Source organism: Homo sapiens, chromosome 2 (genome assembly GCF_000001405.40).
Source record: "Homo sapiens chromosome 2, GRCh38.p14 Primary Assembly".
In the NCBI taxonomy this organism is placed as follows: Eukaryota; Metazoa; Chordata; class Mammalia; order Primates; family Hominidae; genus Homo; species Homo sapiens.
The window spans coordinates 171,420,124-171,444,679 of record NC_000002.12 but is presented as its reverse complement, the minus strand read 5'-3'; the positions used below and the strand labels follow the sequence as shown (position 1 = coordinate 171,444,679).

The window sequence follows — 24,556 nt, the reverse complement described above, 5'->3', positions numbered from 1 at the left end:
TTCTTAGAATAAGCACTGATCCTATAGAAAACAAATACAGGTCGATTATCCCTTCTCCTACTGAAACACTTGGGACTAGAAGTGTTTCAGATTTGAATTTCTTTGGATTTGGGGATATTTGCATATGCATAATGAGGTATCTTGGGGATGGGACCCAAGTCTAAACACAAAATTCATTTATGTTTCATATCTATCTTATACATGTAGCCTGAAGATAATTTTACATAATATTTTAAATTTTGTGCCTGTCACATGAGGGCAGGTGTAAAATTTTCCACTTGTGGCGTCATGTCGGCATTCAAAAAGTTTTGAATTTTGGAGCATGTTGGATCTCAGATTTTCAGATTAGGGATGCTCAACCTGTACTTAGAAATATTCCTTAAACAAGGAAGTTCTATGATCAAAAGAATTTGGGGAAATGGCTTGATAATCATCATACCTATTAGTATTATTGTATTATTATTATTAGTAAAGGCTCTGAGAAGTAATTCTATCAATAGATATGTTTACAGTCTTAAACTCAGAATGTCCCAAACTTAGTTTTTCACAGCCCAATTCCCCCTAACTCCTCTGACACCCGTTAACATTCCATGAAAACAGTGTTTTGAAAAATATACACCCAGGCAAAGCTAGCCTTATGAAATGAGCTTATCCTATTATTTTATTTTTATTATTTTCCTAACACGTAAAATAACGTAAAATAACTGTTGCTCTAAATACTTTGTTACTGTTTCAGTATATTGAGTGGAATGATCTCTTAAACACTAAGATAATTATACATTAGCTTATGCTGCTTATATAACTTTTAATCGATTTATAACTTTTTAGTTTTCAGGATCTAAAAAAAATCTATCTAATTTTAAAAACACATTCATAATATTAGTATTTTTAATACAGAAATTATTTCATGAGGAAAATAAAAGATATACTCTCATCTTGATTGCTTTAAAGATGCAAGAGTCACTATGATATTTAAGTTGTATTATTTTATGCAATATGTTAATAATAACTGGTTCTTCTAGGCTAAAAATGCTTTAGAAACAAACGCTCTAAAAACAAATCTTACCACTGGGCATTCCCATAATAAAGCATCCTCTATTTTTTCTGATTTGGAACATTTTGGCATTTCATAAAGTTTTCTTGGCTCAGATGCAACACTGGGAAAAAAGAAAAATAAATGATTATTATTCTTGATAACCAAGACAGTATTTGTTCAGGTTTGAGAGACTATTTTTATTCAGAGATGTGAAATACCAAGGCACAATTTATTTGCTTTCCTCTTAACTAAATATTAATATTTTTTTCTGATCACATAATTCATATAAAAAAAAACAAGATTAAAATAGTTTACAATACCATAAAACTGCCAAAAATAACCCTTATTAACATTTTGGTTCATTTCCTTCTGGTTTATATACATATACGTACCTGGACGTTGTTTTCCAAAAATGGTTCATATTAAATTCTTTCTTTACCTCTGAACATTTACTAAGAATATCTCTGTTGAATTCCATCAAGATCAAAAACTATTGTTCTGATATTTAAAATGAAAATTACTGGATAAAAAGGGTCCCATTATTTTAGAATGAAAACTAGTGGATTTAAAAAAAACAAAAAACAAAAAACCCTTTATGGTTTTTTTTTTTACTCCCAAATTACTTTTCAGAAAGGTTGAGTAAATTTATACTTCTGCCAATATTGAATGCTATATCTTTGATGTGAAAAATAGTCTCTTTTAATTTGTACTTCTCTGATTAGTTGAGATGTGATCATAAATGTTTAATTTTATTTTGTTCCTTTTTTTTGAGACAGTTTCTCACACTCCAGGCTGGAGTGCAATGGCATGATCTTAGCTCACTTCAACCTCCACCTCCCAGGCTCATGTAATTGTCCTGCCTCAGCCTCCCAAGTAACTGGGACTACAAGCTCATGCTACTACGCTTAGCTAATTGTTACATTTTTTGTAGAGGCAGAGTTTTGCCATGTTGCCCAGGATGGTCTTGAACTCCTGGACTCAAGTAATCCACCTGCCTCAGCCTCCCGAAGTGTTGGGATGACAGGTGTGAGCCACTTCGCCTGGCGCTTTTCTTTCTTTCTTTTTTTTTTTTTTTTTTTTGAGATGGAGTCTCACTCTGTCTCCCAGGCTGGAGAGCAATGGCACCATCTCGGTTCACTGCAACCTCCGCTTCCCAGGTTCAAGCGATTCTCCTGCCTCAGCCTCCTGAGTAGCTGGGATTACAGGTGCATGCTACCATGCCCAGCTAATTTTTGTATTTTGTATTTTTAGTAGAGACAGGGTTTCACCATGTTGGTCAGGCTGGTCTCGAACTCCTGACCACGTGATCTGCCTGCCTCAGCCTCCCAAAGTGCTGGGATTACAGGCGTGAGCCACTGCGCCCAGCCCCTTTTCATTTTTTTAAATGAACTTTGAAATTAAATTACTGTTGAAAGAGAAACAATTTTCAGGTGATAATTTTATTGTACCTCTTTGACATTCTCTCACTGATTCAAAAGTTTAAACCAAACAGTTTCACAAGAATGAAGGCAACTTCATATGCGATTATAACCTGTGGATAAAACACCATTGGACATTAAATAACTCAATAATATTTAATCATTAGAACACTAATTGACACCACTTACTCTAATTTAATTTTTTTTTTAAGTTAAAGCAGGAAGTTATAAACTTGACATTAAATGATCCTGAAGAATTGTTGCTCATTTTCCTAGGTGTGATAATGACATGATAAGATAACATGTCCAGATTTCCACTTCCAGCATGAGGGCATGAAGAGCTCTGTGGACAAACTCCTTGGCAAAACTGGTGAAAATCATAAAAGGACAACTATTTAAAGTCTCTGCAAATGGTCCTGGGGACATACAGCATATGAAGAAACATTTATTCAAGAAAACCTACTACTGCTCAGTAAGAATAGTGAGTCTGTGGTGTCTGAACCAGGGCATAGTCCCTTCCTTCCCAATCCCAGCTCAGCAAGATGGAAACTCCACTCCAGACTGGTGCAGCCAAGAGTACAAGGCTCCCTGTTTTCCAAGCTTCCACTCAGAGAGCTATCTTCCTAGGAGGGGTGGGATGACAGCATTTCTCATCCAGTCCCCAGCTGCCTATTGCTGGGGCTGAGTATTGGGTCAGTATAGTCAAGAGGTGGGGGTCCCTTCTTCCACCCAGCCCCTATTCATGGGATGGAGGATCTACCTTGGATGTAGCACAGCTGAGGATACTGAGGCCCTAACTGGCCTTATCCTCCTTAGAAAACAGTAGTTCTACACTGAGAGAGAGACAAGGTGGGAAGATCTGAGGTCAGTGTTTCCTCAACTCCAAGTGCGCAGCTTCTAGAGTAGGGGAGTCACTCAGAGAGAAGCATGGCATTGACTCCCACAACCAGGTAAAGAGCCTTAGTTCAAAAACTGTGCAGGAGGGGAGAAGCAGGCCATAAAAGAGATAGCTCTGTGGCTCTTTCCAGAAAAACTAATTTTATTTGCAACAGAGTGTGGAGAAGTTAAGGCCTAGGAGCACTAACAAAATCTGTGGAGTTTGTGATGAAAGGCAAATGGGAGGAGACTGGTAGACTCAGCGGAGATACAGGCTAAATTGTAGGCTGGCTAATTTGCCAGAAATAACCAGAAAAAGCTAGCAGGACAGAGCCCTCTTGGGGTTAGAACAAATCTCAAAAGCTGACTATTCTCTCTAAATTCTGGTTTCTGGTCCAAGACGAAAACAGCCTGGAAGTGCCACCCGTCTGTCCTCATAGCACGAAAAATGCTGAACAATCTGAAAATCCATAATTATTCTTAGATCCATCAGAGAATTCAGGTCACAGGGCAAACTGCTGCCTCCAAAACTGGAGAGAAAGGTGGATACTGACAATTACAGCTTTCCAGGAACATAAGCCCAGGAACAAGCCACTGGAGCCAACAATGGGGGAGACAAAAATAAGCACACTAGAGGAAATTTTAACCTCTAATACCTACGGCTACAACAAACAATAATCATAGCCGAACTCCTACTCAGATAAACATAAAATCTCACTCTAAAGGCCTATTTAATTCTTTTTATCCAATATTATCTTAAATTTGTAAAATTTTTTGAGACACTGTCTCGCTCTGTTGCTCAGGCTGGAGTGCAGTGGCATGCTGACGGCTCGAGCAGCCTTGACCTCCTGGGCTCAAGCGATCCTCCCACCTCATCCTCCCTGGTAGCTGGGACTACAGGTGTGTGCCACCATGCCCAGCTAATGTTGATATTTTTTGTAGAGATGGGGTTTTGCCATGTTGGTTAGGCTGGTCTCAAACTCCTAGGCTCAAGCAACCCCAGACGTTGGCCTCCAAAAGTGCTGGGATGACAGGAGTAAGCCACTGTGCCTGGCCTATCCAATATATCATATCATATATAGCCCTCAACCAAAAAAATGACAAGGCATGCTAACAGGCAAAATACAAAAGTTTGAAGAAACAAAACAAACATCAGAACTGGATTCAGATATGGCAGAGATTTTAGAGTTAGCAGACCAGAAATTAAAATAACAATGATTAAGCCAGGTGCGATGGTATGTGACTGTAGTTCCAGCTATACTCAGGAGGCTGAGGGAGGAGGATCACTGGAGTGCAGGAGTTTGGGGCTACAGTGCACTATTATCATACCTGTGAAAAGCCACTGCACTCTAGCCTGGGCAACAAAGCAACGCCTCATTTCTTGTTTTTTACTGTTTGTTTGGGGTTTTTTGGGGTTTTCTTTTTTGAGTCTCGCTCTGTTACCCAGGCTGGAGTGCAGTGGCATGCAATCACAACTCACTGCAACCTCCACCTCCCAGATTCAAGCAATTCTTCTGCCTTGGCCTCTGGAGTAGCTGGGATTATGGGTGTGTGCCACCATGCCCAGCTAATTTTTGTTTTTTTAGTAGAGATGGGGTTTCGCCATGTTGGCCAGGCTGGTGTCGAACTCCTAGCCTCAAGTGATCTGCCCACCTAGTCCTCCCAAAGTGTGAGATTACAGGTGTGAGCCTCCGCACCCAGTCACAAGACCTCATTTCTAAACTAATTAATTAAATAGCTGATTAACAGGATCAGAGCTGGGAAAAGTGGACACCATGCAAGAAAAGATGGGTAAATTAAACACAGATAAAAATTCTAAAAAAAAAAAAAAAAAAAAAGGAAAAAAAAGAAATACTAGAAATCAAAAAACACCATAAGAGAAATGAAGAACGCCTTTAACAGTTATCAGTAAACTGGATGCAGCCAAGGACAGAATCAGTGAGTTTGAAGATAGGTCAACAGAAACTTCCCAAGCTGGGGCAATAAAAGAGGAAAAAGAAAGAAAAAGTAGAACAGAATATTCAAGTATTACAGGAAAATTGGAGAAGGTATAACATCCACATAATGGGAATACCAGAAGGAAGAAAAAGAGAAAAATAAATATTTGAAGTAATAATGGCTGAGAATTTTCCAAAACTGACAGATACCAAGCCCCAAATCTGGGAAGCATATTCAAACTGCAGAAAATCAAAAGTGAAGAGAAAATCTTGAAAGAAGCCAGATGAAAAAAAAGCACCTTAACTATATAGGGGAACAATAAGAATTAATTTGGATTTCTCTTCAGAGAGCATAAGAGCAAGCAGAGAGAGACATAAATACCTAAAGTGTTCTGGTGGCTCGTGTCTGTAATCCTCAGCAGAGGCTGAGGTGGGAGGACTACTTGAGGTCAGGAGTATGAGATCAGCTTGGGCAACACAGCACGACTGAGACCCCTATCTCTAAAAAAATTGTTTTAAAAATAGCCACATGCCTATAGTCCTAGCTACTTGGGAGGCTGAGATGGTCGGATTGCTTCAGTCCAGGAGTTTGGTGTTACAGTGAGCTATGATTGTGCCACTGCACTCCAGCCTGGGAGACACAGCCAGACCCTGACTTTGGGGGGGAAAAAAAAAGGCACAGATAGATTAAAAGTAAAGGAATGGCAAAAGATACAATGTGTAAACACTAAACAAAAGAAAGCTGGAGTAGCTATACTAATTTCAGACAAAGTCGAATTTGGCAAGGAACATTACCAGGGATTAAGTGGGCATAAGATAATGAAAAAGGTGTCAATTCTCCAAGAAGGCATAACAATATTTAATACATATGCATCTAACAACAGAGTATCAAAACACAATGTGGCAAACACGGATAGAAATGCAAGGAGAAATAGATAAATCCACTCACTATTATAGAGATTTCAATACCCATCAGTAATTAACACATCCAGCTGGCAGAAAGTTAGTAATTATGCATATACTTAAACTGAAAGGTACCATCAGTCAACTGGATCAAACAGAATATCTCATCCAACGACAGCAGAATACACATTCTTCTCAAGCTTACACGAAACGTTCACCAAGGTAGACCACATTCTGAGCCATAAAAGACACCTTAACAAATTTAAAAGACTAGAACTAATATAAAGTATGCTCTTGGGTCATAGTGGTATTAAACCACAAATCAATAAAACAATGATAACTGGAAAATCCCAATATATTTGGAGAGTGAACAACACACATCTAAATAACACATGGGTCAAAGAAGTCCCAGGAGAAATTTAAAAATATTCTGAACTAAATGAAAATGCACATACAACGTATCAACATTTGTGGGATGCAACAAAAACAATGCTTAGAGGAAAAGGTATAGCAGTAAGTGCATATGCAGAAAAGGAGAAAGACTTCAAATCGTAATCTAAGTTTCTACCTTAGGAAACTAGTAAAAGAAGAGCAAATTAAATCCAAAGTAAGCAAAGAAATAACAAAAATTAGCTCAGAAAGTAGTAAAATTGAAAACCAAAAATCAATAGAGAAAATCAACAAAACCAAAAGCTGTTTTTTTGAAAAGGTCAACAAAATTGATTACTAATATGAGAAATTAAAGAGTGGCTATCACTACCGATCTCATGGACGTTAAAACAATAATAAAGAAATATTATGAATAAGTCTAGGCTCACAAGTTTGGATAACTTAGATGAATTCCTTGAAAGACACCATCTATCAAAATTTACCCAAGGAGAATTAGATAACTTGAATAAGTCTGTATCTATTAAAGAAATGTAATCAATAATGAACAACCTACCAAAACAGAAAGTGCCAAGCCCAGATGCTTTCAATGGTTAATTCCACCAAGCATTTAAAGAAGAAATAACACAGCAGCAGTGATCAAGACAATGTGGTATTGACATAAGGACAGACATACAGATCAGTGGAACAGACTTGAACGTCCGGAAATAAATCCAAAAGTGTCTATGGTCAATTGATTTTTGACAAGGGTGGCAAGGCCTTGCAATGAAGAAAGAAAAGTCTTTCTAATAAATGGTGCTAGGACAAATGTATAGCTGCATGTTAAAAAAAATGGAGTTGGATACCTACCTTATACCCTATACTAAAATTAACTCAAAGTGGATCAACCACCTAAATATGAGCTAAAACTATAAACCCTTTAGAAAAAAACCTAGGAGCAAATCTTAATGACCTCAAATTTTGCAATGGATTCTTAGATATGGCACCAAAAGCATGAGTAATGAAAAAAATTTAGATAAATTGGACTTCATCAAAATTAACCTCTCTGTGGCTGGACGCGGTGGCTCATGCCTGTAATCCCAGCACTTTGGGAGGCCGAGGTGGCCGGATCACCTGAAGCTGGGCGTTCGAGACCAGCCTGACCAACATGGAGAAACCCGGTCTCTACCAAAAATACAAAATTAGCCAGGCGTGGTGGCGCATGCCTGTAGTCCCAGCTACTCGGGAGGCTGAGGCAGGAGAATCACCTGAACCCGGAAGGTGGAGACTGCAGTGAGCCGAGATCACGCCATTGCACTCCAGCCTGGGCAACAAGAGCAAAACTCTGTCTCAAAAAAAAAAAAAAAAATTAACCTCTCTGTTTCAAACAATAACATCAGGAAAGTAAAAAGACAATCTACACAATGGGAGAAAGTATTTGAAATCATATATCTGATAAGGGACTTGTATCTAAAATATGTAAGGATTTTTGTAAAAAAAAAAAAAAAAATTTACAAGTGGGCAAAATATCTAACCAAACATTTCTCCAAAGAATAACATACAAATGGCTAATATGCACAAGAAAAGATGCCTGACATCACTAGTCATCAGGAAAATGGAATCAAAACCACAGTGAGATGCTGTGAGTCACACATCAAGTGTTGACAAGAATGTGGAAAAATCAGAACCCTCATATACTGCTTATGGGAACATAAAATGGTACTACCACTTTAGAAAAGTGTATGGCAGTTCTTCTAACTATTAAACGCAGTTACAGTATAATCTTATGACCTACCAATTCCATTCCTAGGTATAATCTAGGAGAAGTGAAAATAAATGCCCACATAAAAACTTACATGGAAATGTTTATAGCAGCATTATTTATAATAGCTAAAAGGTAGAAACACCAATGTCTAACAACTGATAAACGGATACGTAAAATGTGGTAATTGATACAATGCAATATTATTCAACTTTATAAAGGAATTCTGATGCATGTGACAACATGGATGAACCTTGAAAACACGCAAAGTGAAAAAGCCAGTTACAAAAGACCATATATTATATGATTCCATTTATATGAAAAGTACAGAATAGGTGAATCTACAGACAGAAAACAGACTAGTGGTTGCTTAGGGCTGAGGGTAATGGTGGTACTGAGGTGACTGCTTAAAGGTACATGGTTCTGTTTTGAAGTGATGAAAATGCTCTAAAATTAACTGTGGTAGTGATTACATGTATCTGTGAATGCATTAAATATTATTGAACTGTACACTTTAAATGGGTAAATATATGGTATGTGAATTATATCCTAATAAAGCCTATAAAAAAAGCTCATTTTTTTAAAAATGCAAACTGATGTATGTTTAGAATATGCTTTAAAAGAGGTCATGCAAAAGGAAAAGTGGGTTAGATAAAGCAAATGTGGCAAATCTTGATAGTTTTTGAATCTGGGTAATGAGTATATGGGGATGCATTGTGGCTTTCCTTCCCCCCTCATGTTGGACAGTTGTGGATGAGGCTGACTGTTAAACATTTTGGATCTCTAAATACTAGGCTTTTGTTTGAAAAAATTTCTCTAAAAAAAAAAAAAAAAGGCAAGTACTTCCAAAACACAATCCATCAATTCTCCAAAGCAGCATCTAATTATTTGATTGGCAACTGGATTTCTTGACTGTGGTATAAGTAGACTAAACACTAAACAGTACTCTGAACAATCTGTGGTTTTGCCTGCACTGTAGTTTTGCTTTAAGTTGGTATTTACAAAAATGACACCTGCAACTTTAGATTTAACAAGATTTTAAAATTACATGCATTTTTTACTGCCTAGTCTTATTTCGGACCCATTTTTTTCATTCTATTTCACTAGGCACTAATGTAGGCATGTGGTTCTATACAAATTATAGTTAAGATCAACAGTGAGGTGAATTACAGCAAAATTATCAATAAAAAGTTACCTGCTGACACAGCGCCGATAATTGTCAAAATATATTCTTCCTCTCTCATAGGCTATAGGTGACCTGGAATGAGTTGTCCAGACATTCTTAAATTTAGTACTTTCCTAAAAGACATAAAGAATTTCCGTTCAGGAAAGAACTCTTAGGCTTTAAGTTAGATTTTAAATTTTCAAAGCAACATAATGTCACCTATATTATTTTAAAACTTTTTGCATCCTTCCTCCACTCTGCCCTCATGTTTTGGCTTAATGAGGTGACCAACTTTTAGAATAATTGTTTCCAGGTAAGACATAAGAAGCGTAAAACTAAAAGCAGCTGGTGGCCCTATTACCACCTATCCCAGATTCCGGGCTTGTATCCTCCTCCCCATCACATGTGACCCTATAAAGGGAGGCCCCAGCGCGTTAAAACCGCATCCCCGCAGGAGGCTCGGCCGCCGCGCGCCCGCGGCCCTCCGTCCCGCCCCGGCCGGCTGGCGGTCACCTGGCACACCAGCGCCCGCAGGATGCCCAGGTTGGTCCTCTGCACCACGCCTGCGTCGCGCGAGAAGCAGCCCAGCGCCCGGCGACTCAGCCGGCTGCACACGTTGGGCTTCCGGGTCGGGCCCATGGAGGCGCGGGCCGGGCCCTGGGTAGGCTGGGCCGCCGAGTGGCGCGCCCCACACTCCCGTGCTGGGCAGCCGCCGCTGCCTTCGAATTTCGAGGCCCAGACTTTCCCGGCGGGGCCCAGGGAAAGCTGACACGGGGAGGCGGGCAGGGAGCACCCGACGGCGGGGCGAGGGAAAGCAGAGCCGCTTGCACCGCCAGAGCGCGGAGAGAAGGGAAGAAGCACTCCCTTTTCGATCTGCCCCAGGCTCTCTGGCCGCTGACAGTGCGACGCTCCGGTACCGCGCGGCCGGCCGGAGCCGCTCTCTCACCGGGAAATGTAGTTCCTAGTGCCTCGTGAGGCAGCCCGGCTTCTCCCAGGAACTACAATTCCCGTCAGGCGGCGGGGAGCGAGGGCTTGCCCGGCCCTGCCTCTGCCTGCCGCGGCCCCGCCTCCTCCGGCCCGCGGAGGCTGCGCTGTCTTGCGGGCGCGCTTCTCTGTGCTGCGAGTGGCTAGCTGGGCAGAGCCCTGGGGGCGCGGTGCTGCCGCCTCCAGGTCTCCGCCCCGTGTGTGCGCCCTGCACTTAGGGATCCCTCCCTCACTGCCCCGGTACTCACAAGCTTCTCGGCCCCGACCTTCGCCCTGGGAGGTTCTGGCCAGGTGCCGGGAGGGGCGCTGTGTCGAGGGCGATCCCCCCAAAGCAGCGTCCCGTGCTAAAGGTACGCCCCGCGGCTTTCCCTTCAGCCGCATGTTGGCTGAGGGGGACGGTAAACTGTGCTTTTGTATTAGGAAGATGCTGGCTTCCCATTCACTCTTAGTTTCACCCTCCAAACTGGGATTGAGTTACTCTTTCCCGGAGGCTTGTCCTTGGGTGGCCTGCGGGGACACTGACTGGTTTTGCGATAATTGCTTCATTTCATTTCCTCTCGCCTCCATTCTTTTTTCTTTATAGGGAATAAAATATGAAATGCTTACATTCTTATTGGACGGCCTAAGATATTCCTCGTCGATGTCTCTAAGTAAAAGATATACTTTGTTAACTAGCCCTGCCTGTATGTTCAAAGTTCCCAGCACACTAAACTTTCAGCAAGCTTGCACCACATGTGTCCCACCGCCATGCTCTAAGTCCCTTAAGGGTGGGGCCGCTGTATCTCCCACGTGGACTTGGGCATGCTACCTCTTGTTCATAGGTGCTCAAAGAAAGCCAGCGATCGCACCTGACTGGCAGAGCAAAAAGTACAGTACAGCAGGTCCTTGAATCGCATTTTTTCGTTCAGTGTCATTTTGTATAACTTGATGAGAAAAAATAATAATTTCCTACCGGGGCTACTGTTTGTGTGGATCTTGCCCCTTCTCCCCACGTCTGCATGGGTTTTCACCAGGTACCCCAGGGTACTGCCTCCCACATCTCAGTGCAGGCTGGATGAATTGGCCTTGTCTGTGTTTCCTGTCTGAGTGTGAGTGTGAGTGCTCCCTGCGATGGAATGTCGTCGTGTCCAAGGGTTGGTTCCCACCTTGCACCCTGAGCTGAGGGGATAGGCTTCAGCCACCCTCGACCCTGAACTGGAATAATTAGGTAAATAACTATCTTACTTGTTTTTATTAATCTTCCTTAAATGTATGTATAGCTCCCATTTATTTCAATGTTTAATATTAGAAGTGTTTTGGTTTGTATTTAGGAGTTTGGTGATGTTTTTGTGACCAGAAATATGTTATAGGAACTTAACTTTTGTTTATATCAATTGGCCTATGGTAAAAATGGTTTTGTTATATGTCATTTTGCTTACAGTCAGTTTCCAAAAATCTGTTGATGACATTAAGTGAGTACTTACAGTACTGGGTGAGTGTGTTGGGTCACAGTTTAAGTGTTTAGTAAACATTGGCCATATCTCTTTTTAACCCTGCTGAATTTCCTTCAGGGCTCGAGCTTTTGCTGATTTTTCATGACTTATTTACAGCATACGGTAGAGTGCTTTGTATATTTTTAGAGAGTGCTACAATAGTTAATTTGGTAATTCATGAATGCAGCTGTCACTGAGAAAACTGGAACCCAGAAAAGATAACTGGGTTTTCTTTGGCTTAAATGAAATTCAAATCATTTCTGAATTGAATTCATCAACTCTCTCATTTCTCTTTCCTCTTTGCCCCCACTTGTTTGTCTTCTTTCTTGTGGCCTTTATTTCACCACCAAGTCGTCACCAAGGGAGAGTCATCCTGGATGCCTTGCTGTTCCTCACCCACAACCAAGTCCTTTAGACTCTTATCCATCTCATCTTCATTTCACCTAAGTAATTTAGGGCCTCACCATTTTTTATCACATTATTAAGTAGTCTCTTAATTTCTGCCTTACTTGTGACACAGGATTTTTTTTTTTTGACGTTGCTTTGCCACTGGAGACCTCCGCAGCTGGAGACCTACCCAGGCCTTGCTCGGGCTGGGCTTGCCACAGGAGGTGCCCTGCACAACTGGCCCACTGGGCCACTCCTGGCTTGCACGCAGGTGTGGATCCTGTGGCCACCTGACTGTGGGCTCAGCCCCTGGCAGGAGAGGGTGTCTGAGCTGGTGAGTGCAGAGTTGTGTGGTATCCAGCTGGTTGCTCCAAGTGCCGGCACAGGAGCTGGCTCCGTGCACCGCTTGCGGCTGGACCAGGCATGTCACAAGTGACTCCCACAGTGGGCTCTGGAGTCCAGACTAGGGGAAGGTGGTGGTAACCAAATGGGTCAGGCAACCCAGAAGCCCCAGAGGTGGGTGTTACAGCATGCTAACAGCTCTTTTAGATCTGCCCTCTGCAGCCTGACGAACAGGGGCATGTTAACAGCCCTATCAGTCCTGTTACCCCACTCCCGCCCATGGCCCTGGGGCTGGCCTGGCCCCCCGCCCTGCTTCTTGTTGCATAGGGTGGCTACCAGGCGCTGCTGGTGGGGCAGAGAGCTACCGTGTTACTCTCTTCTTCCTACCCATGTTTGGTGGCATCCTGAGCTCTTGTCCTGTGTCCAAGAATGAGATTACACTAACAATCGGAGGGTGAGGAGGACAGAGAAGAGTTTTATTGAGCAACAAAACAGCTCTTGATGCAGGATTTTTGCTCTTAGCTCAGCTAGGTCTGAGTTTTTGTCTCACAATCAGTAAGAATTAGGTGTGTGGACCCCGGAGAGTGAGTGGAGTAGAATTTATTTAGTGAAAGGAAAGCTCCCAGTAAAGAAAGGGGTCCTGAAAGCAGGTTGCTGGTTGCCCCCTTTACAGTTGAATACCTGGGCTTAAGGTGCAAATTTCTGGAGGCTCCACCCCATCCTTCCAGTGTGCTCGTGGGCCCTTAGTCTGAGCTACTCCATATTGGTTATTTCCCTTACTGCACATGTGTTAGGGAATGGAATTTTCTATTGTGGGCATGTTTAGGCAAGCCCCCTGTGCAAATTCCCTTATGTGCACAAAACATCTGGTGTAAGCACTTTTGGGGCACGTCGTAGGTTCTTCAGGGACGCTTCCCTTACTGTCTGCCTAAAGCAAGCTGGCTAACTCCTTTCATTCTCAGCCAAGAGGGGACGCAAGGGTGGTCCCCCACCCAAAGTAGTTTGGCCTCTCTTCTGGCATGGCTGGGTCTGGGGCTTTTATGGGCTCAGAATGGGGAAGTGCATGCTGATTGGTTTGTGAGTATGCAAAATAGGCTAAAACAAAGGCACCACTCAAAGGTGGGCACAACAGTGTGAAAAAACAAATTAGAGAAGGGTGGGTATATGTAAAATAGGTGAAGGGTGGGGATCAATCAGAGGAAAGTGCACCAAATGGGAAGAGAGGTTCTCGATCTGGTCCATAGATTTATCCAGGACATGTAGCTAGGCTTTAAGCTGTCTTCAGCTTGAAGGTCAGGTTTCACTGGGGACCCACCCCCATCTGCCTAGGATTTGTCTGCCTCCTGCTGCTATCACTTGGGTACTTTTAATTCCAGCCCTCCTCCATACTGCTGCCAGAGTGATTTTCCTAAAGCACAAGCTGTCACTTGCCTGTTGCATTCTTTCAGCAGCTCCGAACACCCATAGCAGAATTTCTTATTTATTTATTTATTTTTATTATACTGTAAGTTCTGGGGTACATGTGTAGAACGTGCAGTTTTGTTATATAGGTATACATGTGCCATCGTGATTTGCTGCACCCATCAACCCGTCACCTACATTAAGTATTTCTCCTAATGCTATCCCTCCCCTAGCCCCTAGACAGGCTCCCTTTTTTTTTTGTTTTTTGTTTTTGAGATGGAGTCTTGCTCTGTTGTCCAGGCTGGAGTGCGGTGGGGCTATCTCGGCTCACTGCAGCCTCCACCTCCCAGGTTCAAGTGATTCTCCTGCCTCAGCCTCCCCAGTTGCTGGCATTACAGGCGCACACCACCATCCCTGGCTAATTTTAATATTTTTAGTAGAGACGGGGTTTCACCATGTTGGCCAGGCTGGTTGTGAACTCCTGACCTCAGATGATCCGCCCACTTTGGCCTCCCAAAGTGCTGGGATTATAGGCATGAGCTACCGTTCCTGGCCCATAGCAGAATTCCTTTTTTTTTTTTCTTTTTGAGACGGAGTTTTTTTGCTCTTGTTGCCCAGGCTGGAGTGCAATGGTGTGATCTCGGCTCACTGCAACCTCTGCTTCCCGGGTTCAAGTGATTCTCCTGTCTTAGCCTCCCGAGTAGCTGGGATTACAGGCACATGCCACCACACCCAGCTAATTTTTGTATTTTTAGTAGAGATGGGGTTTCATCATATTGGTCAGGCTGGTCTCAAACTCCTGACCTCAGGTGATCTGCCTGCGTCTGCCTCCCAAACTGCTGGGATTACAGGCGTGAGCCACCACGCCTGGCTGAGCAGTATTTCTTATACCCAAATAAGATACTCAGGATCCTCCATTGTTAACTTAAAACCTTTTTAGTATGTCACATATATGCAAAGATAAAATTAGGTATAAACTCCTCATCTTGTCTCTTTCTTGTTTTTTGTCTTTTTAATTTTTTTATGTGTGTGTTGTATCTTTTATACACCGATAACACCCGAACATTTACAAGTTAAATGAAACAAAGCTATAAAACCAATAAATTCAAATGATTGTGAGCAATGAGACTTTAGTTGGACCTAAAAAGCTCTAATCATGAATGTCCTCTGTGGCGTACCTTCCTTACAGAAAGGTCTGTCCATATTGCCCTTGTGTTGAGAGATTACTTGATGCCTTCACCTCTTTTCTTTATATAAATCACCACAAAACCTTCATTTGTTCAGTATGTCATGGCTTCATTTGTCCTTTACTTGACAAACAACATCATTTACATACAGTAGTCCCCATTTCATTCTCATTAACATGTATCAATGACAAACAGCACCACTTGTTTAGCAATACACTCCTAAACACACGTGTGAATTCAAATCTTGTGACAGCACTCAATTAAAAAGTGCTCATTCAGATGATCCAGAGTGTCCTTTTGTTAATATTCTTTTTTTTTTTTGAAAGATTTTTATCAAATTGAAAATGAAAGGTTTCTCCTACAGAAATCTCATAGCCTTGAAGATATGTGTACAAAATCCCTAGGGGTTCACATAAGGTACCTTATAGTACAAAATCTGAATCTCTTTGGGTAGAATACCAGGCACTTCATTATCTTCCCATGTTTTCATTATCTTGCCCACATTTTCAGCCTCATCTCTTTGGCCATCCCTCATGTTTGCTTTTGTGGTTCTGACATGTTTGCTGACTTTCTCAAGCCAATGTGCCTTTATATTTGAGATTTTCTTTATCTGAAGCTTCCTTTCCTCTCCTCTTATCAGTTGATCTCAAGACTCATCCCAGGTATCACAGCTCCACTGAGACCCTTCCCCTAACTCCTCCAGCTTGGTTAGTAGCCTTTTCTGTGCTTCCATGTTACTGTGTATACTGTTGTGGCACTATACTAGAATTGTCATTTGTCTGTCTTCTCAACTAACCTGGGCAGAAACTGAGTAGTAATATAATTCTCCCTGCTTTACACTACCTAAAATGTGGTTAATGCATATGTATGTTGAATAAATGAATGGGCTATAAAAAACAATATGTTTGTATAGAATCTATTATCAACAGCTAAGTACTTTTTTTTTTTTTAACTTTATTTGCTTGAGAAGAAATCTCAAAGGCTGGTGCTGAACTCCTGGGCTCAAGCGATCATCCCGCCTCAGCCTCCTGAGTAGCTGGCATGTATAGTGGGATTACAGGCATATACCACAATACTTGGCAATAGCAGCTACTTTTAGCTTAGATGCAGATTTAGTCTCCACTTATTCCTTAAATCAGTAGGAAGTCACAATATTAATAACTTTCAAAAAAACTTAAATCCTTAAGACTTCTACCTATGAAGTAGATATTTTCCATTTGTTGAAGGTAAAATGGCATAAATAGATACAGTTTTATGATTGGAAAATGATTTCTCTTAGTTTTGGGCATAGAACAAATATTAGTTCTTCTTTTTTTCTATTCTTTGTCTGTGTTATGTTTACAGAATACTTAACCATCCTAGCCATGATATTTTAAAGACAAGAAAGAAGAAATATTAATTCAAAAGTTAATAAAATGCTTTTTGTTCATATACTTTGTTTAAAGAAACATAGTATAACTGAATAAATGTATAAAATACTCAGGTTATTAAACTTGAACATTTATTCAGAGACAAATTTTAACTAAGCTATAGGAAGTCATTTGTTCAACATGTTTTTGTTTTTCATCCATAATGTGCAGGGGAAAGTTTTGGCATAGGGTATAGCAGTAAACAGGATAGACAGGGTCCCTACAGGTGGGAGGAGATAGACAATAAATAAATAGATGAAAAAATAAGATTTCTAGGTAGCAATAAGTGCTGTGAAGAAAATAAAACAGGGTGATGTGCTGGAGGGTGGTTGAACACCCTGCTTTAGCCAGAGTGGTCAGGGAAGGCCGTTCTAAAGAGAACACATGTAAGCTGAGCCCTGAATGATGAGGAGGAGCTGATCTGCAACAGTCCAGAGTAGTAGTCCAGGCAAAGGGATGCTTGAGTTCAGGATTCCTAAGGCTTATAATAAGAAGTCAAAAACTCTCAGAAGGCCAGTGTGGCTCTTTAGTGTGCAGGAGAGAGGTAAACTTGGAGCAGTCGGATGGGACCAAGACGTTAAGCTTTGTAGGCAATGGTAAGGAATTTTGGATTTTATTCTGATAGGAGGCTTTGAAGAGGGGAGTGATATGATCTATTTTGTGTTATAAAAAGGTCATTATGGCTATAGAGTGGAAAATACATTGTGGAAGGCAAGAATAATTGTAAGGAGACAGGTGGCTATTGCATTTGTCCAGGTAAGAGATTATAGTGTTTTGGACTAGAGTGGTAACAGGAGAGATGGAAAGAAGTGAACAAGATTCAAGATGTATTTTGGAAGTAGAGTTGATAGGACTTCTGATACAGTGGATATTAAGGATGAGGAAAAGAAAAGAATCAAGTGAAATCCTAATAAAACAGAACCACGATAAATATTCCCAAACTCCTCAAAACAAATTGGAAACATGATGTGATGCCAAAGAAACAATGCCTGGATTTTATTAAAGGTGCACATCAGCATTATACATTAGTGCTAAGGAATGTTAGGATTTGTTATGTGGCTAGGGCATGTGGGAAAAGTGAATAAAATCAGATCTCAGAAGTAGGTAGGGGTCAGACCATGTGGAACTGTGGAAATGTGATGGAAAACCCTTAGAGTGATGTGACATTCTTCTTAAACAGATACTTGGCTGCAGCATCAAGAACAAGAGTGAAATATAAGAGACCACTTAGCAGGTGATTGTAGTAGTCCAGGTGCAAGTCACTTTTAGAAATTTATTTTGAAGTTATTGAACCTTTTGACCACAAGTTTGGTTCTTATGTTTTCTTTCCTCTCTATATTTTAATGATGTGTGTCTGAACACACAGTATATTAATGCATATACGAAGTTTTCAGAAAGATTTAGGTTTAAAGGATTGATAGTAAAGCTCGCAGACTCACCCTCTTATTTTAAACAATATTTATTCAAAAGAATATCAATCCTTTATGCTATGTTACAGATATCATAGCATAATATACAAATAACAATTATAAAATGAACACCCATATACTTATCATCAACTTAAAAATAAACAGAATATTACCTAAAACTTTGACATCTCTTATGTGCCCTGCTGGTTCCCAGATCCCTCTTTCCTCTTTAGATAAATAAAAAATTGTTTTAAATGTTTTTGAACATCATTCATATTATATATGTGTACTCTTCTATAGCTTGTCTATATTTTTCTCAACATTACATTTTACGACATACCTGTAATTCATTCATGTTTACTACTGTGTAGTATTTCCTTGTATAAATTTATTACAATTAATTTATCCCCTTTCTACTAGCCAGGCTTTTTGTTTCTTTCATGTTTTTTGTTTTGTTTTTGTGTTTTTTGAAATGGAGTCTTACTCTATTGCCCAGGCTGGAGTGCAGTGGCTCAATCTCAGCTCACTGCAACCTCTGCCTCCTGGGTTCAAGAGATTCTCCTGCCTCAGCCTCCTGTGTAGCTGGGATTACAGGTGCCCACCACCATGCCCGGCTAATTTTTGTATTTTTAGTAGAGATGAGATTTCACTATGTTGGCTAGGCTGGTCTCGAACACCTGACTTCATGATCTGCCTGCCTCAGCCTCCTAAAGTGCTGGGATTACAGGCGTGAGCCACCACACCTGGCCTCTTTCAGGTTTTTTATTTCTAGGAAAGTGCTGTTATAGACATTCTTATCCCTGTCTCCTGGCACACGTTAAAGAATGCGTTAGTTTTCTTTTGCTGTATAACAAATTACCACAGTTTTAGTAGCTTAAATTAACACCCATTCATTACCTCAAATTCTTGTAGAAGTCCTAAAACAGCATAACCTAATTCTCTGCTCAGGATCTCACCAGGCTGAAATTATGGTGTCAGCCTGGGCTGTGGTCTCATCTGCGACTCACAGTCCTGTTCTACCCTCACTGGATATTGACACAATTCCATTCCTAGCAGCTATAGGACTGAAGCCCTCAGCTCTGAGACGTTGCCCACTATTCCCTGCCTCATGGCCCTTTTCACAACCTGGCAGTCTGCTTCTTCAAAGCAAATAGGAGAATGTCTCTCTGACCTCCTCTGCTAAGATGAGGTCTTACATAAAAGTAACCTATGAAGGAGATGACTGTCCATCATTTTCACAGGTCCCATCCACACTGATGGACTATGCAGAGGATGAGGGGGTCTCTTGGGGACTGTGTTATAATTCTGCTGCCACAAAGAGTTGCTCCAGAGTATATACCTAGGTACTTAATTACTGAATTATATGGTATGTGCATTGTATTAGTCCGTTCTCACACTGCTAATAAAGACATACCTGAGACTGGGTAATTTATAAAGGGAAGAGGTTTAATTGACTCACAGTTCCTCATGGCTGGGGAGGCCTCAGGAAACTTACAGTCATGGCAGAAGGAGAAGCAAACACACCCTTCTTCACATGGCAGCAGCAAGGAGAAGTGCAGAGCAAAGTGGAGGAAAAGCCCCTTATAAAACCATCAGATCTCATGAGAACACACTCACTATCATGAGAACAGCATGAGGGTAACCACCCCCATGATTCAGTTACCTCCCACTGGGTCCCTCCCACAACATGTAGAGATTATGGGAACTACAATTCAAGATGAGATTTGGGTGGGGACACAGCCAAACCATATCATTCTGCCCCTGGCCCCTCCCAGAGCTCATGTCCTCACATTTCAGAACACAATCATGTCCTTCCAACTGTCTCCCAAAGTCTTATTCCAGCATTAACTCAAAAATCTAAGTCCAAAGTCTCATCTGAGACAAGGCAAGTCCCTTCTGCCTATGAGCCTGTAAAATCAAAAGCAAGTTATTTATTTCCTAGATACAATGGGGGTACAGGCATTGGGTAAATACACCCATTCCAAATGGGAGAAATTGGCCAAAACAAAGGGGCTACAGGCCCTATGCAAGTCCAAAATCCAATAGAGCAGTCATTAAACCTTAAAGTTCCAAAATGATCTCCTTTGACTCCATGTCTCATATCCAGGGCATGCTGATACAAGAGGTGGGCTCCTATGGCCTTGGGCAGCTCCACACCTGTGGCTTTGCAGGGTACAGCCCCTGTCCTGGCTGCTTTCATGGGCTGGTGTAGAGTGTCTGAGGCTTTTCCAGGCACATGGTGCAAGCTGTCAGTGGATCTACAGTTCTGGAGTCTGGAGGATGGGGGCCCTCTTCTCACATCTCCACTAGGCAGTGTCCCAGTAGGGACTCTGTGTGGGGGCTCCAATCCCACATTTCCCTTCCGCACTGCCATAGCAGAGGTTCTCCATGAGGGCTCCACCCATGCAGCAAACTTCTGCTTGGACATCCAGGCATTTCTATACATCTTCTGAAATCTAGGCAGAGGTTCCTCAAACTCAGTTCTTGACTTCTGTGCACCCGCAGGCCCAATAACACGTGGAAGCTGCCAAGGCTTGGAGCTTGTCCCCTCTGAAGCCATGGCCTGTGCTGTACCTTGGCCCCTTTTAGCCACAGCTGGAGCAGCTGGGGTGCAGGGCACCAAGTCCTGAGGCTGCACACAGTAGGAGGGCCCTGCATCCAGCCCAGGAAACCACTTTTCCCTCCTAGGCCTCTAGGCCTGTGATGGGAGGGGCTGCCTCAAAGTTCTCTGACATGCCTTGGAGACATTTTCCCCATTGTCTTGGTGATTAGCATTTGGCTCCTTGTTACTTATGCAAATTTCTGCAGCTCGCTTGAATTTCTCCCCAGAATATGGGTTTTTCATTTCTACTGCATTATCAGGCTGCACATTTTTCAAACGTTTATGCTCTGCTTCCTCTTGAGCACTTTGCTGCTTAGAAATTTCTTTCTCTAGATACCCTAAATCATCTCTCTCAAGTTCAAAGTTCCACAGATCTCTAGGGCAGGGACAAAATGCCTCCAGTATCTTTGCATAGCAAGAATGACTTTTAGTCCAGTTCCCAACAAGTTCTTCATCTCCATCTGAGATGACCTCAGGTGGGGGGCTCTATTGTCCATATCACTATCAATATTTTGGTCAAAACCATTTAACAGGTCTCTAGGAAGTTCCAAACTTTCCCACATCTTCCTGTCTTCTGAGCCCTCCAAGTCTCTAGGAAGTTTCAAACTTTCTCACATTTTCCTGTCTTTTGAGCCCTCCAAACAGTTCCAACCTCTGCCTGTTACCCAGTTCCAAAGTTGCTTCCACATTTTTGGGTATCTTTACAGCAGCACCCCATTCCTGGTACCAATTTACTATATTAGTCTGTTCTCACGTTACTAATAAAGACATACCTGAGACTGGGTAATTTATAAAGGGAAGAGGTTTAATTGTCTCACAGTTCCACATGGCTCAAGAGGCTTCAGGAGACTTACAATCATGGCAGAAGGGGAAGCAAACACATCGTTCTTCACATGGCAGCAGCAAGGAGAAGTGCAGAGTGAAGCAGGGGAGAAGCCCCTTATAAACCCTCAGATCTCATGAGAACTCACTATCACAAGATCAGCATGAGGATAACCACCCCCCATAATTCAATTACCTCCCACTGTGTCCCTCCCACAACATGTGGAGATTATGGGAACTACAATTCAAGATGTGATTTGGTTGAGGACACAACCAAACCATATTATGCACCTTCAGCTTTTTTAGGTGATACCATGTTGACTCTGTATGTTGTTATAGCAATTTCTATCCTATTAGCTGACTTCCCATTACTTTACATCCTTGCCTGCATTTGTATTGTCAGACTTAAGTTTTTGCCAATGTAGTGAATATAAGACTATCATATTATGATTTTTATGCATTTTCCATATTATAAATACAGTTGAGCATCTATTTTTAATGTCACTAGGCATTCCTGTTTTCATTCTTGTGCAAAGCCTGATCATGACTTTTGCCCATTTTCTATTAGATTGTGTGTCTTTTTCTTCTTGAGTTTAGAATGTTTCTGCATGTTTCTCCGTAACAATTCTTCATCATAATATGTGTTACAAATGTCTTCTCCCAATATGTGGCTTATTTGATACTATATAAAAAAAGAAGCTCACATTAAATGTGGTAAAAGTAGTCAGTATTTCCTTTTATGGTTATAATTTGACTATTGTTTAAGAATTGCTTAACTTGAGGTCATAAAGATATCCTCTTATTCTTTTTCTAGGTTTTAAAGTTTTAACTTTCCCACTTAAGTCTTCAGTCAGTGATGAAATTGATTTGAGAGTATGGTATAAATTAGAGATCCTTTCATTATTATTATTTTTTGTATATGAATAATCACTTGTTCCAGACCCACTTATTGAATAGTCTCTTCATTTCTTCACAGATCTGTGGTGCTAGTTCTGTTGTAGATCAAGTTACCTATCTGGTCAAGTCTATTTCTGTGCTCTGTTTTCTGTTCCATTATCTTATTTTTCTGTCCCTGGGGTGATAAGTGACCACTTATTCACTGCAGTTTTATCATAAGGCTTGAGAGCTGGTAGGGGAACTGTTCCATCTTACTCCTCTTCTTTAGGAGTGTCTTATTTCTTTTTTGCCATTGACACTTTCATATACCTTTTAAAATCAGCTTGGGCTTCCCAAAAGCCTTATTGAAATTTTGATTGGGATGGCATTAAATCTGTATATCAGTTTGAAGAGAACTGACATCTTTACAATATCAAATAATCCTATCTATGAAGACTATAGAGTCTTTCCTCAGTATACTAGGGAGATTGGTTCCAGGATGCCCGCATATACCAAAATCCACACATCCTCAAGTCTTTCAGTTGACCCTGTGGAACCCAAGTATATGAAAAGTTGGCCCTCCTTATATGCAGATTTCACATCCTCCAAATACTGTATTTTCAATCTGAGTTTGGTTAAAAAAATCCTCATATAAGTGGACCCATGAAGTTTAAACCCATTGTATTCAAGAGTCACTATGTAGCTCTCCATTTATTTAGTTAGATCTTCATTAGTGGCTCAGTGAAGTTTTATAATTTTTTCTTTAAAGGACTTGCATATTTTACAACTTCCTAAGTGTATCATATTTTTGGTCATTGTTATAAATGATGTGTGTGTGTGTGTGTGTGTATGGATGTGTGTATGTATTTTTTTTTTGAAGTAAGGTCTCACTGTGCTGCCCAGGCTGGAGTGCAGTGGCTATTCACATGTGTGATCATCGTGCATTAAAGCCTCAAACTCCTAGGCTCAAGTCATCCTCCTGCCTCAGCCTCCTGAGTAGCTGGGAGTACAAGTGGTGCCACTGTGCCTTGCTAAATAGTATATTTTAAAATTAGGTTTTCTAACTATATGTTTGCTAGTATATGAAAATATAATTGTCTGTTTGTATATTGATCTTTTATTTGGCAATCTTGCCAAACTTTCCATTTAATAGTAATAATTGTCATTTGTAGGGTTTAGGGGATTTTTTCTGTGTAGATAATCATATCGTTAGGAAACTGTGACAGTTTGTTACTTCCTCCTCCACCTTTTACTTTTTATTTCTCTTTCCTTTCTGACTGTCCTGGCCAAGACCTCCATTGCAGTGTTGAGTAGAACCATTGATAATGGACATCCTTGTCTTATTCATGTTTATAAAGGGAATACTTCTAATATTTCACCATTAAGGATGACATCATAAGTTTTTGGCAGCTACCCTTTATCAAGTTAATGAAATTGTCTTCCATTTCACAGTCACTAAAAGTTTTGATTTTTAATCATGAGCGAATGTTGAATTTTATCAGAGGCCTTTTCTGTATCTGCTGAGGTCATTATATGATTTTTTATTTTAATCTGGTAATGTGGCAAATTACATTGATATACTTTCTATTGTTAAACCAAACTTGGGTTTATTTAGATCAATTTTTGTGACACATTTTGTTTTTTATACATTGTAGGCTTTGGGTGGTTGCTAACCTCAGTGCTCATTCAGCTCTGGACTTTTGCGAGCTTTTGGTCTCTGAGTATTTCTCTTTCTTGCTGGCTCAGGGGTATGTTTAATAAGATTTCTTTTTAAAACATATTAATCCAGCCATTTAGGGGTGGTTGATAGCAGCAAGGATTTTGGAGTATAAAGTTCACCTAATTTGCAGAACTAAAATTCCACTTTATTATACTTTTAGTTTAAAAGCTTCTGTTAATAATATATGCTTTCAATAATCACTTACCACCATGTCTGCCTCATCTTCTTTTTCTTCTTCTTGTCTCTCTGCATAACCATGCCACTCTCTACTGAAAAGACAAAAGAATAGTCTAGCGGGAAGAGCATCATACCAGGAGTCAAAAGCTACAAGTTCTAGTGCCAGCACCATCACTCCCTGAGATCTTGACCAAGCCGCTTTCTTTTGTTGTTGTTTTTAAATAAAATTTTTATATTTTTTGTAGAGACAGGGTTTCACCACATTGCCTAGGCTGGTCTTGAACTCCTGAGCTCAAGTGATCCGC

At 41.0% G+C, this 24,556-nt stretch overlaps 2 protein-coding genes across 24 annotated transcripts in view, besides 6 other annotated features; one reads left to right on the top strand and one right to left on the bottom strand.

Annotated features, from left to right (window-relative positions):
- Positions 1 to 10,454, bottom strand: part of DCAF17 (DDB1 and CUL4 associated factor 17) — a 50,827-nt gene extending 40,373 nt beyond the window's left edge. For 12 of the 13 annotated variants that reach the window (NR_028482.2, XR_007082530.1, NM_025000.4 and 9 more), the window contains exons 1-3: positions 9,977 to 10,454; positions 9,494 to 9,597; positions 1,067 to 1,157 (exon numbers count right to left, since the gene is read on the bottom strand). Coding sequence is in view for 11 of the 13 variants with exons in the window: in NM_025000.4 (NP_079276.2) it covers positions 1,067 to 1,157; positions 9,494 to 9,597; positions 9,977 to 10,102 (321 nt within the window). In the remaining 2 variants the exon portion in view is untranslated. Of the gene's footprint in view, positions 1 to 1,066; positions 1,158 to 9,493; positions 9,598 to 9,682; positions 9,905 to 9,976 lie in introns of those variants that run through there. The other variant, XM_006712768.2, reaches the window with a different exon arrangement.
- Positions 9,628 to 10,187: an enhancer, noted in NCBI's record as "NANOG-H3K27ac-H3K4me1 hESC enhancer chr2:172291003-172291562 (GRCh37/hg19 assembly coordinates)". NCBI's record gives its function as "activates a minimal SCP1, AML or CMV promoter by ChIP-STARR-seq in naive H9 embryonic stem cells {active_cell/tissue: H9 hESC(naive)}" and the evidence as "EXISTENCE:reporter gene assay evidence [ECO:0000049][PMID:30033119]".
- Positions 9,628 to 10,696: a biological region, named in NCBI's record as "NANOG-H3K27ac-H3K4me1 hESC enhancer GRCh37_chr2:172291003-172291562".
- Positions 9,787 to 10,696: a silencer, noted in NCBI's record as "silent region_12102". NCBI's record gives its function as "represses an Ori minimal core promoter by ATAC-STARR-seq in GM12878 lymphoblastoid cells {active_cell/tissue: GM12878}" and the evidence as "EXISTENCE:reporter gene assay evidence [ECO:0000049][PMID:35858748]".
- Positions 9,908 to 24,556, top strand: part of METTL8 (methyltransferase 8, tRNA N3-cytidine) — a 119,027-nt gene continuing 104,378 nt past the window's right edge. For 5 of the 11 annotated variants that reach the window (NR_135568.2, NM_001321161.2, NM_001321158.2 and 2 more), the window contains exon 1: positions 9,908 to 10,006. Coding sequence is in view for 3 of the 11 variants with exons in the window: in NM_001321161.2 (NP_001308090.1) it covers positions 9,999 to 10,006 (8 nt within the window). In the remaining 8 variants the exon portion in view is untranslated. Of the gene's footprint in view, positions 10,007 to 10,689; positions 10,798 to 11,460; positions 11,655 to 24,556 lie in introns of those variants that run through there. The other 6 variants (NM_001321159.2, NM_001321154.2, NM_001321162.2 and 3 more) reach the window with 2 other exon arrangements.
- Positions 10,749 to 11,309: an enhancer, noted in NCBI's record as "OCT4-H3K27ac hESC enhancer chr2:172289881-172290441 (GRCh37/hg19 assembly coordinates)". NCBI's record gives its function as "activates a minimal SCP1, AML or CMV promoter by ChIP-STARR-seq in naive H9 embryonic stem cells {active_cell/tissue: H9 hESC(naive)}" and the evidence as "EXISTENCE:reporter gene assay evidence [ECO:0000049][PMID:30033119]".
- Positions 11,007 to 11,076: an enhancer, noted in NCBI's record as "active region_16757". NCBI's record gives its function as "activates an Ori minimal core promoter by ATAC-STARR-seq in GM12878 lymphoblastoid cells {active_cell/tissue: GM12878}" and the evidence as "EXISTENCE:reporter gene assay evidence [ECO:0000049][PMID:35858748]".
- Positions 11,287 to 11,456: an enhancer, noted in NCBI's record as "active region_16756". NCBI's record gives its function as "activates an Ori minimal core promoter by ATAC-STARR-seq in GM12878 lymphoblastoid cells {active_cell/tissue: GM12878}" and the evidence as "EXISTENCE:reporter gene assay evidence [ECO:0000049][PMID:35858748]".